Source organism: Homo sapiens, chromosome 1 (genome assembly GCF_000001405.40).
Source record: "Homo sapiens chromosome 1, GRCh38.p14 Primary Assembly".
NCBI classification, from domain to species: Eukaryota; Metazoa; Chordata; class Mammalia; order Primates; family Hominidae; genus Homo; species Homo sapiens.
In genome coordinates, this window is record NC_000001.11 from 225,936,434 (window position 1) to 225,954,011 (window position 17,578).

The 17,578-nt window shown below is 51.1% G+C and overlaps 1 protein-coding gene across 3 annotated transcripts, besides 5 other annotated features; it reads right to left on the reverse strand.

Annotated features, from left to right (window-relative positions):
* Nucleotides 170-4,787, reverse strand: LEFTY2 (left-right determination factor 2). Of its 3 annotated transcripts, NM_001172425.3 has the most exons (5): nucleotides 4,458-4,787; nucleotides 3,541-3,569; nucleotides 3,323-3,438; nucleotides 2,928-3,167; nucleotides 170-1,371 (listed from the first exon to the last, which is right to left on the reverse strand). In NM_001172425.3, the coding sequence occupies exons 1-5, from the start codon at nucleotides 4,705-4,707 to the stop codon at nucleotides 1,008-1,010; spliced, it is 999 nt and encodes a 332-aa protein (NP_001165896.1). In that variant the 5' UTR covers nucleotides 4,708-4,787; the 3' UTR covers nucleotides 170-1,007. The 3 variants fall into 3 exon arrangements, with proteins under 3 accessions (NP_001165896.1, NP_003231.2, XP_011542568.1); NM_003240.5 differs by having other exon boundaries at nucleotides 3,323-3,569; XM_011544266.2 differs by having other exon boundaries at nucleotides 170-1,527; nucleotides 3,323-3,569.
* Nucleotides 2,852-3,429: an enhancer, noted in NCBI's record as "H3K27ac-H3K4me1 hESC enhancer chr1:226126985-226127562 (GRCh37/hg19 assembly coordinates)". NCBI's record gives its function as "activates a minimal SCP1, AML or CMV promoter by ChIP-STARR-seq in naive H9 embryonic stem cells {active_cell/tissue: H9 hESC(naive)}" and the evidence as "EXISTENCE:reporter gene assay evidence [ECO:0000049][PMID:30033119]".
* Nucleotides 6,306-6,365: a silencer, noted in NCBI's record as "silent region_1867". NCBI's record gives its function as "represses an Ori minimal core promoter by ATAC-STARR-seq in GM12878 lymphoblastoid cells {active_cell/tissue: GM12878}" and the evidence as "EXISTENCE:reporter gene assay evidence [ECO:0000049][PMID:35858748]".
* Nucleotides 6,902-7,481: an enhancer, noted in NCBI's record as "H3K27ac-H3K4me1 hESC enhancer chr1:226131035-226131614 (GRCh37/hg19 assembly coordinates)". NCBI's record gives its function as "activates a minimal SCP1, AML or CMV promoter by ChIP-STARR-seq in naive H9 embryonic stem cells {active_cell/tissue: H9 hESC(naive)}" and the evidence as "EXISTENCE:reporter gene assay evidence [ECO:0000049][PMID:30033119]".
* Nucleotides 9,218-9,797: an enhancer, noted in NCBI's record as "OCT4-NANOG-H3K27ac-H3K4me1 hESC enhancer chr1:226133351-226133930 (GRCh37/hg19 assembly coordinates)". NCBI's record gives its function as "activates a minimal SCP1, AML or CMV promoter by ChIP-STARR-seq in naive and primed H9 embryonic stem cells {active_cell/tissue: H9 hESC(naive and primed)}" and the evidence as "EXISTENCE:reporter gene assay evidence [ECO:0000049][PMID:30033119]".
* Nucleotides 14,516-15,053: an enhancer, noted in NCBI's record as "H3K27ac-H3K4me1 hESC enhancer chr1:226138649-226139186 (GRCh37/hg19 assembly coordinates)". NCBI's record gives its function as "activates a minimal SCP1, AML or CMV promoter by ChIP-STARR-seq in primed H9 embryonic stem cells {active_cell/tissue: H9 hESC(primed)}" and the evidence as "EXISTENCE:reporter gene assay evidence [ECO:0000049][PMID:30033119]".

Here is a 17,578-nt window from a genome sequence, read left to right on the forward strand (position 1 = left end):
TTGGAATGAGAGTTGTGTGAGAAAATAGAAATATCATAAATGAAAGCCTCATCTATATAAATTTAACTATTATAGTCTTGCGCCCTAGAGGTTGGGGGTCCTTTCTTCAGATCATTGTGTTGCTCTCATTCCCCATTATTGCTCCTGGAAATTAAAAACAGACACAGAGTGAAACATCATTTTTTATTTCTTCTGAGTATCTACATTCAATTGCTTTAGCTAAATTAACAAAAAACATGCAAATACATGTGGTTTCTGGTGACAAGTTCTCTAAGACAGTGTGGGAAATGACCTAAATATGCACGGGCAAGGCTCAGTCTCCAGAGGAGTGGGCAGGGGTAGGTAGGGGCTGTCTGATCCCCAGGGCAATGAAGTTCTTAGAGCTGAAGCCCAGCTCCTCCTTTTTAAGAGGAAATGACGAGCCAAAGCCTTCTGCGTTTGTTAGAGATCCTAGCTTGTGGCCCTGTCAGAACCAGAATCCAGGTATCCCAATTCCCTGTCCACTGCCCCCAGCCTGAAGCCCTTCATCCTTCCTCTTAGCACCCTCTCAGGGGAACAGGGGCCTAGGTATGTTTACAAAAGTCCAGAATGGGTCAGTATTTGGGGGAAATAGAGATTTGAAGGTTTTAATTCCTCATATAACACAGCAATTCAGTTCTGTTTCCCCAGTTCTAATCATAGGGTATTATTGTTCCAGACTCAGTGAAGAATTTGCCAGAGAACAGAAACTCCCAGCTGAAAATGTGTGCATTGCTCAGCTGTATCTTGTAATCAGCATGCCAGCATTTCCTACTAGAGCTCAGCATCTGAGCTGCATTATTTACTCACGTAAGTGCTTAGGATGGGTGATGGACGGGAAAGACAGGAAATGGAAGGACACAGGGCGAAGGTCACACAGGAGCACTAAATTGGGATGGAGTAACTTGCTAAGTATAAAGTTAAGACCTACATTAAGACCACCTCTATGCACACGTTCAGTTAGAGGGCTCAATGGATACACCAGGCGCCTATGGCTGGAGCCTCCTTGGCACGAGCGCCCCATCCGAGGCACAGCTGCACTTCTGCACCCTCATGTTGGGCAGGCTGACCACCTGGGGCCTGGTCCTGCCTCCCTCCTTGATGCTGACGATCATGGGCAGCGAGGCAGTCTCCGAGGCGATACACTGTCGCGGCCCCAGAAATGGCCAATTGAAGGCCAGGGCCTCCGGGGGCTGCTGGCAGGTGCCCACACACTCGTAAGCCAGGAAGCCCGGGGGCTCCAGCACCCAGTTCTTGGCCCACTTCATCCCCTGCAGGTCAATGTACATCTCCTGGCGGCAGCAGCGGGTGCCCTCGGTCATTGGTGCTTCAGGGTCACAGTCGCCCTGAGCTCTGTGTGGGCAAGGAGAGCAGGGTCAGAGGTCATCTGGGAGGCTGAAGTCAGAAGGCCTGGGGCACAGCTTAGTGGGCACCTGGGAGGGAGGTTTATGATCCAGCTCTCACTATGTTCTAAAAGCTGGATATTTGTGAGAAGATGAATAAACATATCTGAAACATAAATAATAAATCAGCTACTATTAATTAAAGGTCTCCTAATAGGCCAGACAATGAACTAGGTACTTCACATGTATTATCTCAGGTGATGTCTGCATTTCATCCTCAGGTAGGTTCCAGCATTATCCCCATTCCACCTGAGGCCACTGACACCCAGAGGTGTTCGGTGATGGGCCAGAGGACCTACAGCCAGTGGAAGGCAGAGCTAGATGGAGCCCAGGCCAACCGGCTCCAAGGCCTCTTCTTAACCACTGTGCTACACAGCCCCCATCTGCTCCAGAGAGCTAACTTGTCCATGAGAAAGAATTCACCAAAGCAGGAGGAAAGCTCATCGCCCCTAGTAACAGCTAAAGCTAGGATTTTTCAAAGATTTAATCATGGAGAAGGGTAAAGTGAAAGTAGATGATTACAATCGTGTATATGGAGTCAATGGCAATAGAAAAATCCATTGAAGATTGTCAAAGATATTTTTAAATAAAATAAATCATACAATTCTCCTGCCACAGCCTCCCAAGTAGCTGGGATTACAGGCGCCCGCCACCACGCCCAGCTAATTTTTATATTTTTAGTAGAGACGGGGTTTCACCATGTTGGCCAGGCTGGTCTGGAATTCCTGACCTCAGGTGACCCGCTGGCCTCCACTCCCAAAGTGCTGGGATTACAGGCGTGAGCCACCATACTTGGCCTTACAATTTTTTTTTTGTCGTTTCTTTAAAACTTTTTTTTTTTATTTATTTTTTTAAGGATAGGATTTCACTGTGTGGCCGAGGCTGGTGTCAAACTCCTGGCTTTAAGCAATCCTCCACCTCAGCTTCCCAAAGTGTTGGGATTACAGGCATGAGCCACTGCGCCTGGCCTGAATAATATAATATTTCTTTTTCTTTTCTTTTCTTTGTTTCCTTTTTTTTTTTTTTTTTTTGAGACAGAATCACGCTCTGTCCTCCAGGCTGGATGGAGTGCAGTGGTGTGATCTCAGCTCACTGCAACCTTCACCTCCCGGATTCAAGTGATTCTCCTGCCTCAGCCTCCTGAGTAGCTGGGATTACAGGCACGCGCCACCACGCCCGGCTAATTTTTGTATTTTTGGTAGACACGGGGTTTCATCATGTTGGTCAGGCTGGTCTCAAACTCCTGATCTTGTGATCCAGCCCGCCTCGGCCTCCCAAAGTGCTAGGATTACAGGTCTGAGCCACCACGCCTGGCCAACAATACAATTTCTGCCATTAGAAACCCTGACATGTAGTGGGCAATCGCTGGCATCCTGGGACAGTCTGCACCGCGCTCTCCCTACCCCTAGCCCACCGCCACCATCCGGTCCCCCAGACAGTCCTGGGGACGGGGGTCTGGACCACTCAGTGGCTGCTTGCCTCCCTTCTGCCCAGTCCTGCACCTACCCATAGTCCCTGAGGTCCAGGGTGTGCAGCTCCAGCTGGGGCTCCCCAAGCCCGGCTGGCGCCCCCTGCGAGGCAAAGCGGACCAGCTTGTGGGCGCCGGACGCCAGCGGGCCCAGATGCTCCCTCTGCACCGACACCTGTAGCAGCAGCGGCTGCCGGGGCCGGCTCAGCTGCTGCCAGAAGTTCACGGCCTCGGTCACGTCGAAGGCCTTCCAGCCGCTCTCGTGGACGGACACCAGCCTGAGACATGATACACACGACACGGAGACCCAGCGCCGCTTGAGGGCGGGGACTGGGACGGGCCCCGAGGACCCTGCACCGCCCCCTGCGTCCCCGCCCCCAAGCCGGGCCGAGCAGCCTCCTACTCCTGCCCTGCGCGCCCGCGCGACCCCCACCTGGAGTCGATGAGGGAGGTGCGGTTGGAGCCGTCGTCGCGGACGCGCAGCCACTCGACGGTCACCCGGGCCTGGGCGCTGCGCGGGGACAGCCGCCCGTGCCTGTGCAGCGCGGCCTTGGGGACCGGCTCCTGGAAGAGCCGCAGCACGGCCTGCACCAGCTCGCTGTTGGGCGGCAGCCGCTGCTCCATGCCGAACACCAGCAGGTGTGTGCTGGCCTCCGACGCCAGGAACCTGCCGGCCACCTCTGGGGACAAGAGCAGGGTCAGCAGGGCCTCCCCGGACTCCAGCGGAGCTCTGAGGATGGCAGGGCCACTGAGCTGGCAGCCAGGCCAGGAGACACCGGCCCTGTTCTATCTCTGGGGCAAACCCAGTTTACAAATCTTCCTTGGATCTGGGCCTTGTTTAGTAACAATTTCCATCCAGCAGGCAGGGGGGCCTGTGGGACCCTGGCTAGCAAGTTTGCCTCAGCTGAGATGCTGGGAGCAGAATCCTCACCCAGGTGCCTGGCACTGGCTCTAGCTCTGGGCACTGAGGAGCTAGGGAGGCGAGAGGCTGCAGGAGGATTCAGGCCCAGTTGCACCCCTGACAGCCAGGTATAACCCAGGTAGTCTACTTAGGTATTTTTCAGTTATCCAAACACGCTTCTATCCACAAGGACTCACTTTGACGTTCACAGTGCTGGGAGATGGCGAAGACATAGTCATACCCCTGTTCCAGATGAGCACATGGTGGAGAGAGGATTTTAAAGCCATTTACTCAAGGTCAGGCTCAGACCAGAGTGGCAGTGTGAAAACATACCCTGGGAGTCCAGCTGCACCAAGTGCCTTGAGGCACACACTCACCTGCTCCCCCAGCTCTACTTTCTCTCCTCTACCCTCCCCTTCTCTGAAGTCTTGGTTTTTCCAGCAGGTCTAGCCTGGTGCACCTCCCCTGGGCTGGAGGGGGGCCTCAGTGCACAGCTGGAGACCCTGGACCCAGGCCCGGCTCCTCCTCACTGCTCCTTGGACCGTGGCCCTCACACAGCCTCCCACAGAGTCCCAAAAGGCCAGGGGCCCTTCGACACCTCCAGAGTGGGCACAACCGGCCTGCCCCCGACCATGGGACCGGGGCCAGCAGGGAGGGAGGGTCTCACCTCGGAAGCTCTGGCTGAACCTCTTTCCGCGGGAGCGGTCCCCGTGGCTGCGCCGCAGCAGGACTACATACTGGGCCCTCACGTGGGCGGGGATGACCAGCTTCTCCATGTCGGCCCTGTCCAGTACGGGCACCTCGCTGAGCTGCAGCTGCCGCAGCAGGCTGCCCAGGAGCTGCTCCTCGGTCAGGGCCGCCCCGGGGCCAGCCAGGGGCAGCACCCAGAGTGCCCAGCAGAGCCACAGGGGCCACATGGTGCTGCCCTGGGGGAGCAGGAGGCAGAGTGGGGCTGTCCTCTAGGGAGGTTGAAGGAGGGTCTCAGGCAGCTGGGTGTGCTGAGAGCCAGGCTGGGCCAGCTTTATAGCTGGCCCTGGGCTGGCCTGGGGTGAAGGGAAGAGGGAGGGAGGGAGGGAGGGAGGTCACACCCCTGGGACCTCCTGGGAGCTCACAGCCAGACAGGTCCCTGAGCCTGGAGGAGGGGGCTGTCTAGAAAGGACAGGGCTGTCTGGATGCCACCCAGGCCTGGGGCCTCTGGCTGTGCTGTCAGCAGCTTGACAATATTTTTAGTGCCTGTTGAATTTTCCTGGCCTTACCCCAGCCCTGTTCTATGAAAAAGTGAGTCTATTCTGTGAAAAACAAAGTCCTGCTAGCCAGCTGCTTAAATCTCTTTAAGTCTCTTCTGGAGGCTGGGCTGGGTCCAGGTCTGCAAATCATAAAGGAAGGGCGGGAAGGATTCTGCCTTCCTGCTGGTTCTGGCCACATTCACAGAAGCCCCTTGGTCATCTCCCTCCAACCTACACTCCTTGCACACCCCCTGCCTCTCCCCACACCAGGGGTCCCTCAGGGTTGTCGCACCGTCCTTGCCCTCCCCCCATGACATCCTCTGTCTAGACACGGTCAGGACACAAATCTGGCAGCTCTACTGTCTTTAGGAGTCCCAGGAACAGCAATTTCAGCAAGTGCCTTTGCAGTCACGTGACCACAGCACAGGAGTCCTCCCTTCAGACAGCAGAATTATTCTGGGGTGTGCTCTCCCCAGTGAGCTGGCTGGCCGGTTCATGCCACCAGCACTCAGCTGGAGCCCAGGTCATTTCCAGACACAGACAAGGGACAGGGACTTAGAAAGCAGAGGCCAGAGCTGCCCAAAGGCATGGCCTGTCCAAAGCCACAGGTACTGGGGGCAGATTGAGGTGGGAGCCCCCCTGTGTCTCTTCAAACACACATTTTAGACTGGCCACGTTCAAATATGAGAACTGCCATCTGCTAACTGTTTGACCTGCTAGCAAGTGAGTTAACTTCTCAGTGCCTCAGTTTCCTCATCTACAGAAAGAGGGTGATGATCATAAGGTCTTCTTCATAGGGTTAGTGTGAAGATTAAATGCATTAATACATGCAGGATGTTTCACCCAGTGTCTAGTGACAGGTAAACACTCTGTAAGGGTTTGCTATCATTATTATCTGCCTGAAATCTGCATTCACAGGGTCGTGGCTTTTTGCATTTTTTTTTTTTTTTTGACGTAGCCTCACTCTGTCACCCAGGCTAGAGTGCAGTGGCGCGATCTAGGCTCACTGCAACCTCTGCCTCCTGGGTTCAAGCAATTCTCCTGCCTCGGCCTCCCGAGTAGCTGGGACTACAGGCGCATGCCACGCCCGGCTAATTTTTTGTATTTTTAGTAGAGATGGGGTTTCACCGTGTCAGCCAGAATGGTCTCGATCCCCTGACCTGGTGATCCGCCTGCCTTGGCCTCCCAGAGTGCTGGGATTACAGGCATGAGCCACCGTGCCGGGCCAGGTCGTGGCTTTTTATAAAACTCTCAACAACAATAATAGCACACATTTCCTGAGTGCATGTGCCAGTCATTGTTCTAAGCTCTGAATGTGTATTCACACAGCCCTTAGGAGGCAGGTGTCAGTTTCAGGTGCATCTTGCAGATGCAAGGTCAGACCACTGCCTGGGGAAGTGACCTGCTCGCCAACCTCAATGAAGGGCTTGGGAGCTAAATGGAGCCTCTGTCTCTGTAGGCATCTCCTTCTGGCACTGGCATAGGGGATTTGAGGATGTGCAGGGGGAAGCTCTTCCCAAAACTCCACAGCCTCACTTGCCCATGTTCTGTCGCATGAGTAAGGATGGTGGAGGAGGACAAGGACCCTGGGCCAAGGGGGCTGCCGGGCAAGGGGCATCCCCCTTCACCTTCTAAATGGGGGCACTCTGGCCCCTTTGTGGGAATGCTGTGTCACTGACAGGTCTCTCCATGTCATCCCCCTTCACCTTCTAAATGGGGGCACTCTGGCCCCTTTGTGGGAATGCTGTGTCACTGACAGGTCTCTCCATGTCATCCCCCTGCTTCTGTCCTCAAACATTTCAGGCAGAGGAAGAGGGAATCTTCTGGTGCTCGAAGGTGGAATTTCTTTTGGATGAAAGCCCAGGGACTTCATGCCACCACATATATATGCAAATGCATATGTATATGTATATGGAAGTCTCATATTTGAACCCAGCCAGTCTACAGTGTGTGTTTGAGGAGGCATGGGGGGCTCCCACCTCAATCTGCCCCCAGTACCTGTGGCTTTGTACAGGCCATGCCTCTGGGCAGTTTTGGCCTCTGTTTTCTAGGTTTCTGTCCCTTGTTCTGTGTCTGGAAATGACCTGGGCTCCAGCTGAGTGCTGGTGGCATGAGCCAGTCCACTAGCTCACTGGGGAGAGCATACCCCAGAATGATACTGCTGTCTGAAGGGCTTTTAGCAGTGTGTGTGTTGGGGGAGTGTTTAGCATCAGAGAAGGGGGAGGGATAAGAATAACACTGATAATAAACGTAATGGGCTGAGTGTGGTGTGACTCACGCCTGTAATCTCAGCACTCGGGGAGGCCAAGGCAGGAGGATCACTTGAGGCCAGGAGTTCGAGGCCAGCCTGAACAATGTAGCAAGACCCCATCTCTACAGATAAGCATAAATAATAACCACAATGGCTAATAGTGCTTGTGGGCCATGCACTGTTCTGAATGTTTTATATTTATTGTTAACTCTTTATTCTCACCATAACTTGAGGAGGAAGTTGCTGTTATTATTTCCTTTTTATAGATGAAGAAACTGAGCATAAAACTGCTGTCTGACTAGCCCAAAGTCATACAGATAGTAGATGCTAGAGCTCAGGGTATCTGAAGGGAAGGAACAGGGATTTGGTCACATGTGTCCACAAACCAAGGTAAGAGGAAATACAGAAATCCTAACAGCTGACCCCGGGGTGGGAGAAGGAGACCCTTGGGGTCATAGAATCATGACCTCAGCTGCTTCTCTGTTTCCCTTTCCTTTTCTCTCCCATCTATATTTCCGTGGGATTTGTGTAATTCACAAGGAGGAATTCAAATCCCATCTTGGCACTCATCTCCCATAGTTGGAACATCCCGTGAAATATAAATTCCCACCACTGTGTCCGGTCCAAACAAGACCTCCTGTTCTCTCTGTGACAAGGGTAGCTTTCTTCAAAAGAGAAGCTGTTGCCTTTCTTTGCAAGTGATTAACAGGGAAAGGACTTACTTGATGCAAACATTTGGGTCTTAAGTCAGGCCAAAAGGTGCAGAAGTGTCACATTTACAGGCAAGCCGGGACCTGCGGGCCTCAGTCTCTGGAAGCTGTTCTGGGCTGGTGTTTCATAAATATGCAATAGTCCACTACCCTTGCTGCTGGGTGACAGGAAGCCCTGTGGCTTATCACTGGTGCCAAGGATATCACACCCAGGCTGTCCTTGCATGCCACTACCCCCTCCCCAGAACCCCAACATATAGACCCACTGGGAGCTCACTAAGGCTGGACACTCACAATGAGACCTCACAGGCCCCTGTTCTGGTTTAGCAGGGACCTGCTGTTCCAGGGCTGAGGGAGGCCAGGCCCCTGCTGCTGCTGCTTCCCTGACCTGCAGATGCCCATTCGAGGTTCTCTTCCAGCTATGAAACACCACAGGGCTGAGAACCTCTGGAAGTCCCCAGGGATTCAGGAGCTCCTTCTACATCTGGGGTAACAGACCAGCTAAATTGAAACCTCATTTCCAGAGAAGATAGCAAAGTGGAGGGACCCCCCTACACCTTCTTGATTCCCTGCCTCCCCCTGGAGGGACCCCCCACCTTCTTGATTCCCTGCCTCCCCCAGATGTCTTGCTGATATTTCTGCATCGGCCCCTCAGCACAGGACCAAAGCTAGAGCAGAGCCCTCAACAGGAAGTGAAACTACACAGTCAATATCCAGCCTCTCTAAGGACCGATCCTGCCTGCAGGGATGGGTGTCTGGGACGTAGTGCTCAGGGTGGCCCTGGGGGCCGCTGGTAGCCTGGGCAAGTGATCCACGATTGGGAAACTGAGATCCCTTCCTGATGTTGGGGGACCTCCCTTAGGTGGAGGAGCTGGGGAACATTTAGCACCAATGGAGGGGTTTGTCCAGCCAGACGCGACTTACCCTCTTTATTTCACCTGCTAGTTTGTAGAATCAGAGAGAGCTTAGCACTGAAATTGGCTATCCAGGCCATGCTCCTGCCCCCCGGGTTTTAGAAACGAGAAAATGAGGCTCAGAGAGATGACATCTTCCCCAAACACACACAGTCGATGATCCACAATCAATACCCCCATAAAGTCAGGTCTTCCCACTCCCAGACCAAAGTTCTTTCCATGCCCTCAAACTATTTCCAGTCCTGCCCTGACCCCCTGAAGCCAGTAGGGTCATCTGTCAGCCCCAGGCAAGCTGGGGACTCAGTCAACCCAGGGTCGGGTCTGGGCAGGGGGCAGGGAGGCGTGAGAAGCAGACAAACAGACAAAGGCCAAATCCCCCAGACTCCTGAGGCCCAAGATACAGGCCTGGGTCCTAAATGTGGATTCCCGGCAGCCTGAAGAGTTTTGTTTGGGGAAATAAAATAATTGGGCAATTAGCTAGCAGCCAAAAGAAGAGCTTGAATGTGGATTGGGAAACTTTTTACAATGGTCTGATTAGTCGTCAGGAGAGAGGGCAGCCACCCTTTGTCATGCAGTGGAAGGAGCTGGGCCTCTGAGGGTCTGAGTGGAGAGTCTGGCTGTGGGGTCAGGTCAGGCTTGAAAAATTGTAAAAAAAGCCTCTTCTGTCCTGGTGGGAGGGACGGTGTTTGAAGAACAGGGAATACTACTTAACCAAGCTGTCTCAATCAAAAATTACTAAAGTGGAAAAAATGCAGACTGTTTCTGAACCTCTATTGTTAGGGGTTTTAAGATGTTGTGAAGACTTTTTTTTCTTTGGAGATGTTATGTTGCAGATGCTCTAGGTGTAATTGTATGGATGCTGTGTGAGGATGTGGATGCTTTGCACTGCCAGCTGTTTTGTTGGTGTGCATATCCGTTAGGACTGAGGCACTTAGGACCAAAGTCTCTTCCAACCCAGATGACCTTCAGATAACCCAAACTTCTCCGCTTGCTCTGTCCTCCCTGGACCACTCCTGTCTCCCTAATATGGTGTTATCCGTCCCAGCCATCCCACCCACCCAGCTTGGCCATGATGGAGCCACGAGGCAAGCTGCCCCTGAGCTTTGGGGATGGGCTCCCCATTCCTCACCTCCTCTTAGCCCCAGACAGCTTTTCCACAACCCACTGCTCCAGCACCTCCCACCTTCCACCAGGTCTGGGGATGTTCCATGGGGGAGTCTCTGGGGCTAGTGATTTCTGCCCAGAATCACCTGAGAAACCTGTGTAAATACAGATTCCTGGACCCCAACTCAGGCCTCCTGAATGGACTTTGCTGGGGGCAGTGTCCAGTAATCTGAGTGTTAAAGATTCTATGCGCATTAGGTTTGAGAAGCAGGGGAGGGTGAGGATAGGTGGGGGCCAATAGCAGGCAAGGAAGCTGCCGGAGAATTCAGGTGAGAAGAACTCCGTCATTCCATTACACTTATAACCTGGCCCTTCTGGATGATTCCTCCACTTCATGATTGCCAGTGATGAGAGAAAAGAACACAAATGGGAACAAACTAGAAAAACATTTTTTCCTGAGGTATTTTCTGGGCTTTCTCTGAATATTTGAGAGTAAGAACAGGTGAACAGAGGGGTTTCTTTTCTCTCTCTCTAAATACCCTGAACATAATCAGGTTATATGCAAATTCAGCATTAAAACATTTATTTATTCATTTATTTTTTTGAGACAGAGTCTCACTCTGTTGCCTAGGCAGGAGTGCAGTGGTGCGATCTCGGCTCACTGCAACTTCCACCACCCGGGTTCAAGTGATTCTCCTGCCTCAGCCTCCCAAGTAGTTGGGACTACAGGCACCCACAATTACGCCCGGCTAATTTTTGTATTTTTAGTAGAGGTGAGGTTTCACCATGTTGGCCAGGCTGGTCTCAAACTCCTGACCTCAAATGATCCACCCACCTTGGCCTCCCAAAATGCTGGGATTATAGGTGTGAGCCACTGCGCTCGGCCTCAGCATCATAACATTTAATGCTCCAAGGTAACAGTATGTAGGTCAATAGATCTATCAAAGTGTAATTATTTCCACCCTCCTCTAAATTTTTGTTTCTTCTCCACCCACTCTGCCTCACTCTCCTGCAAAAAACCCTTTTGTATCTTTCCCCACAGCTTCAGTACTTCCGGAAATTTTCTCCTACAAGACCCCTGACATAGGAGGCAGGAGACCAAGGTGCTGATTCTGACCTGTGCCTGCCTGGGAACACTTAGCCTGCCATTTCCATGCTTATGCAGAGAAGTTCCTATCTTGCCCCTGATCAGAAGCCACTATCATGACTCCCCGCATCACAGAAGTTTCTTCTCCTTAGTTTACCTGGAAGCTCTTCTCCAGGTTCCACCCTGGCTTTCCAACCCCCACATCCTGCCCTTGCCACTGCCCTTCGCCCCCAGCATTCTGAGGCCCTGAATGGTCATCTCTTTGCTCATTCTTTTTCCCATGCCTGCGTGCCCTTCATCTCTTCTTTACCTTTGAAATCACAGCTCATCTGGCAAGCCTCGGCATAACACTCACTTTCTTCATGAAAATCCTCCCGTCCTGTTCTGACCACTCCCGCCTCTCGCTGCTTTGCTCATCGCTGGTTCTCCGGGTGGCCCTTGGTCCCTCATGAACACAGTGGGATGACACCTTCTCCTGGCATCATAGAGAGATATGCCCAGGTGCTCCCATACAGCACGGGCTCAGCAAAGGGATTCCCTCTTACTCCATCCTGTAATTATGCCGAGCATACTGCACAGAAAATAATTGGTGCTCAAATGCTATTTGCTGAAAGAAAGAAAAAGAGAGAGAGAATAGATGGATCATACCTTTTTTGCTAAGAAATTTAAAATGGAAAATTTGAGACATGAGATTTTAGTCCAGATTAAGGCCAGTATTCTTTAAGGAAACTGGTAACCAACAAACACAACTTTAAAGTTGAAAAAACAGGCTGGGTGCGATCGCTCAACACTTGTAATCCCAGACCTTTGGGAGGTTGAGTCTGGAGGATTGCTTGAGTCCAGGAGATTGAGACCAGCCTGGGCAACATACTGAGACCCCATCTCTACAAAAAATTTAAAAATTGGCCATGCATAGTGGCATGCACCTGTGGTCCCAGCAACTCAGGAGGCTGAGGCAAGAGGATACTTTGAGCCCAGGAGGCAGAGGTTGCAGTGAGCCAAGATCGTACCACTGCACTCTAGGCTGGATGACAGAGCGAGACCCTGTCTCAAAAAAAAAAAAAAAAAGAAAAAGGAAAAAAATACAGACAGTGAAGAAGGTAAGAAGTGTCTCTCTTATTCTGACACCTAACCCCTGGTCAGCTTCCCCAAAGCAGCGCTCTATCTTGTATGCACTTCCAGGACAGTCTAAGCTTGCCAAAGCCCAGGTGTGTGATAACACTGTGTATGCAGGAACATTGTTCCCCTGTACCCTGATTTCACCTGGGGACACATCTTCAACCACCTCCCTTCCCTCGGAGATGCAGTTCTCCTGACCTCACAGGATTCCCTTGGCCTTTCTTTAGGATCACCCTGTTCTAGATGGAAAATGTTAAAGACTCGGATCGTGTCTTCTAGGCTGTGGGTACTAAGTCCATGAAGCAGAGGGAGCGTTCTCACCAGCCCAGGGAAGAGGATCCGTGGGGGCTGTGGTATTGATAATGAGGGTCATTACCCTGTTCCCTAATCTCCAGAGTGTGGCTGATAAGCAGGGAGGGAGGATTTGCACATTCTGACAGATAATTGGAAAGGTGGGCCAAGTAAACAAAATTCAGAATAATGAATATGGAGTCATTTGGGAATCCCCGGGATAAGCCCTGTCCTGCTGGGGTAGATCCTCTTCTCCAAACCTGCAGCATTTCATCAACAGCTCAGCCCTGCAGCTGTCGTGGAGAGGAAACGAGCTTTTGCCATCCACACTTGTGAGAAGCTACTGGCGTATTTGACCCCCTTCCTGCATGTTCATTAGGGAATGTGACACTCCAGCCACCAAGCGGCCCTGACACCTCCTAGAAACACTTTTTGCTTCCTCTGCAATGCAACGCTAAGCTATCCCTTCAGCATTTGGCCTGCCTCTTGGTTTTGGAGCCCTGAGAGGTTCCTGGTGGGAGCTGATGAGTTTTCCAAAGAACCTTTTGGGTGGGTAGGGGTGTATGTGTGTGTGCACGTGTGGTGTATGTAATTAAAGACATGTCTTGGTACAAAATCAAATAGCACAGAAGAGTCTACAGTGAAAAGCAGTAAGCAATAATCTCCACTCCACCCTTCCCCACTCCAGCGGTCAGTTCTGAGGGTTTACCTCCAAAACAATAAACAGAATACTTGTGCCTCTTTTTTTCTTTTCTTTTCTTTTTTTTTTTGAGATGGAGTCTCGCTCTGTCACCCAGGCTGGAGTGCAGTGGCACAATCTCGGCTCACTGCAACCTCCACCTCCCAGGTTCAAGCAATTCTCCTGCCTCAGCCTCCCGAGTAGCTGGGACTACAGGCAAGTGCCACCATGCCCGGCTAATTTTTCGTATTTTTAGTAGAGATGGGGTTACACCATGTTGGCCAGGAAGGTCTCAAACTCATGGCCTCAGGTGATCCGCCCACCTTGGCCTCCGAAAGTGTTGGGGTTACAGACTTGAGCCACTGCGTGTGGCAATTTTTTTTTTTTTTTTTTTTTTTTGAGACACAGTCTTGCTCTGTTGCGTAGGCTGGAGTGCAGTGGTGCGATTTCGGCTCACTGCAACCTCCACCTCCAAGTTCAAGCGATTCTTGTACCTCAGCCTCCCAAGAAGCTGGGATTATAGGTGCGAGTCACCACGCCGGGCTAATTTTTTGTATTTTTAGTAGAGACAGGGTTTCACCATGTTGCCCAGGCTGGTCTTGAACTCCTGGCCTCAAGTGCCTCCTGGCCTCAACTCCTGCCCGCCTCAGCCTCCCAAAGTGCTGGGATTACAGGCATGAGCCACCGCGCCCAGCCTTTTTTTTTCTTTTTAGCTTCATTCTTTTATCCATTTAACAAACATTTACGGAAGGTCTGAACCAGCCGTACACGGTGCTACGCGCTTTAAATGGCTTTGCTTTTCCCTGAAACCAAGAGGCAGAGAGGAATGGAAGGGCTGGTTGAGGGAAGAGAAGCAGAGCAGGAAGTCAGGCTGGTCAAGGCTGGGTCAGGAGACCCCATCTGCAGGAACCTGCTCCTGCACAGAGGCCGGGCTGCTCATCCCGACTGGATGCTTCTGTCCACCCATAACGCCCACTCGACGGGCAGTTTCAACACTGTGCTGCTGGGAAGAGGGCTTTCAAATTTGGCTGGGAGTTGGAAGAAGCTAAAAGGGGAGAGGGTCCCAGAGCAACCCCCCCACCACAATGAGAGGAGCTGGGAGCAGAGCCCCTGGACCTTAGGAGATGCACCATGAGCTCCCCGGGCTCCCACTGATCTTTTGAATACTGAACTAGAGAAGGTAGAATGACCAGGTCCATGTGTAAGACCTGCAAAGACCTTAAGCCCTGAACACCACTAGGCTGTGAACTCTGCCCTCCAAGGCTGACAGTGAAGGGCCCGCTAGGTTGGTCTTCAGGGCAGCAAGAAGGAGGAGTCAGGAGGTGGCATCCACACACTACCTCCATACCCAGAAGTGGGGAGGGGAGACCTAGAGGCACAGAAGGCAAAAGTAGCTTGAAAATGGCAGACAAGAGGGCTGGCAGGGGACAACAGGCTTTGCCACCAGCATCTACGCAGCCCACTGGCCTGAGGGGCTCCTTTTTGTGGGGGGACTCTGGGGAGGTGGTCCTGAAAGAAAGAGCTGTGGAATCAGGCCAGGGGCTCCGGCCTCTTCTGCCTAGGCGGAGCAGCAACAGGCTCAGCAGCGTCCCAGCCCCCTGCTTAGCTCCTCCCCCTAGGTCCCCTGCTGGGCACAGGGCAGGACAGACAGAGGCAGGGAAGTAGAGGGAAAGGGCGAGCGGGCAGATGGAAGTGCAGGGAAATGTTGCGACTTCCATCCGTCTTTTAAAAAATGACACACAGGAGTCCGTGTTTAAGGAACTCTAAGGTGGTGCCAAGAGACAGAAATGTTTCTGGGCCAGAAAATAGGAAGTTAGTGGCAGGTCCCCAAAAAGAAAAGGCACTCCAACTGTCAAAAGGAAGCAAGTCAGGAATACTTTTTTTAATTTTTATTTTTAGACAGTGTCTCACTCTGTCGCCCAGGCTGGAGTACGGTGGCGTGATCTCGGCTCACTGCAACCTCCGCCTCCTGGGCTCAAGCGATCCTCCCACCTGAGCCTCCCAAGTAGGTAGGACTATAGGCACACACCACCACTCCTGGCTAATTTTTGTGTTTTTTTTTTTTTTTTTGTAGACACAAGGTTTCACCATGTTGCCCAGGCTAGCCTTGAACTCTAAGTTAGGATTCTTAACTTGGACAATATCTACTGGCTCCCTGTTGTGAAAGACAAGAATTTAGCTCCTTCCCCCTTTGGCATTTCATTCCCTACCCCCCACCAATTGTAATAAGTGCACTGGTAATTTCAGTTCTTTTTGTTAATTTTGCACATTTAAACAATACACTAAAACCTCTATTTCCTGCTCCCCAAGCTTTAGGGAATGTCTCAGTGTTTCACCAGGTAAAGCCAGGCAATGAGGCACCCCTCATCTACCACCTCTACCAGCTACATCCTTACCTGTGTGTGCTCAGGTCTGACAACCTTTACATTCTGTTCAGTCCTTTGTTTACAAATTGATTTTAAATGCTGAAAACACCAATTAATAACATTATATAATTTTTAGATTAAGCAAATAAATTTCACCGTAGAAGATTTAAACAATCCTGATACTGCCGGGCACTGTGGCTCACGCCTGTAATCCCAGCACTTTGGGAGGCCGAGGTGGGTGGATCACCTGAGGTCAGGAGTTAGAGACCAGCCTGGCCAACATGGTGAAATCCTGTTTCTACTAAAAATACAAAAATTAGCTGGGTGTGGTGGCGGTTGCCTGTAATCCCTGCTACTCGGGAGGCTGAGAGGAGGTGGAGGTTTCAGTGAGCCAAGATCGTGCCACTTGTACTCCAGCCTGGGTGACAGAGCGAGACTCTGCCTCAATAATTAAATAAATAAATACATAAATAAAAATAAACAATCCTGATAAAACAAAAACGTCCATATTCTAATACCCCTTCATCTTCCCTGCCTCCCTGCAAACTCTTCTTTTACATTTTTTTCTTCTTTTTTTTTTTAGAGACAGGGTCTCGCTCTGTCACCCAGGATGGAGTGCAGTGGTGTCATCATAGCTCACTGCAGCCTCAAACTCCTGAGCTCAAGCAACCTTCCCACCTCAGCTTCCTGAATAGCTGGGACAACAGGTGCCTGCCACCACACCTAGCTAATTTATTTTTGTAGAGATGTTTCAACATCTCTACAACTGTCGACGGGCAGTTTCAACACTGTGCTGCTGGGAAGAGGGCTTTCAAATTTGGCTGGGAGTTGGAAAAAGCTAAAAGGGGAGAGGGTCCCAGAGCAACCCCCCCACCACAATGAGAGGAGCTTGGAGCAGAGCCCCTGGACCTTAGGAGAAGCACCATGAGCTCCCCGGGCTCCCACTGATCTCCATGTTGCCCAGGCTCGTCTCAAACTCCTGGGCTCAAGTGATCCTCTTGTCTCAGCCTCCCAAAATGCTAAGATTATAGATATGAGCCATCATGCCCAGCCTCTGAAAACTCTTGCAAGGTAATTAATCATTGCTATCATTCTGGTATGCATCCTTTGAGACATTTTTTCTATTAATTTGTACTTATATATACATACAAAATATATATTTTGCATTCTTTTCTCTTTCACATAATTGGGATCAAACTGCACATAACTCCATGCAACTTGCTTTTCTCACTTAACAGATGTCTTAGAGATATTTCCATGGTGGCCCACCAAGTTCAATTCCATTCTTTTCACTGCTGAATACTATGTCAAGGTGGAGAAGCATTCCTTTGGCTTGAGCCCGGGAGTTCAAGACCAGCCTGGGCAACACAGTGAGACTCTTAAACTGTCTTAAAAATTAGAAGCATTCGCCTGATGGACTTTTAGATTTTTTCCATGTTACAAACAATGCTGCAATGAAAATTCTTGAGCATTCCTCTTTGTGCACCTGTAGGTGGGTATTTCTCTAAGGTAGATACTGAGAACTAGGGAGAAGGATGTACATATTTTACAGTGTTATCAGATTCTGGCAAATTGCCCTCCAAGAAGTTTCCACCAATTTATAGACTCATTCATTTGTGTGAGAGAGCCTATCTCTGCATGTCCTTACCCTTTATTTTTTTTTTTGAGATAGAGTCTCGCTGTGTCACCCAGACTGGAGTGCATTGGCGTGAGCTCAGCTCACTGCAACCTCTGCTTTCCGGGTTCAAGCAATTCTCCTGCCTCAGCCTCCCAAGTAGCTGGGATTACAGGCGTCTGCCACCATGCCCAGCTAATTTTTGTATTTTGGTAGAGATGGGGTTTCACCATGTTGGCCCGGCTGGTCTCAAATTCCTGACCTCGTGACTCGCCCGCCTTGGCTTCCCAAAGTGCTGGGATTAAAGGCGTGAGCCACCGCGCCCAGCCTGAAGTCCTTTAACTGTGGGAAATCTCTGCCTTTTCTGTCTTCTTTTAATACTATCTCATCCTACCAACCCTCTTCATCTCCTCTCCATGATCTCTG

What these genes read in the sequence shown, in the direction of transcription:
- LEFTY2 (NM_003240.5), bottom strand. Translation starts at nt 4,707, where the DNA reads ATGTGGCCCCTGTGGCTCTGCTGGGCACTCTGGGTGCTGCCCCTGGCT. An exon ending in ACCTCCCTCATCGACTCCAG is followed by an intron (nt 3,168 to 3,322) that starts GTGGGGGTCGCG and finishes ATCATGTCTCAG; the next exon opens with GCTGGTGTCCGTCCACGAGA. An exon ending in CTGGACCTCAGGGACTATGG is followed by an intron (nt 1,372 to 2,927) that starts GTAGGTGCAGGA and finishes TTGCCCACACAG; the next exon opens with AGCTCAGGGCGACTGTGACC.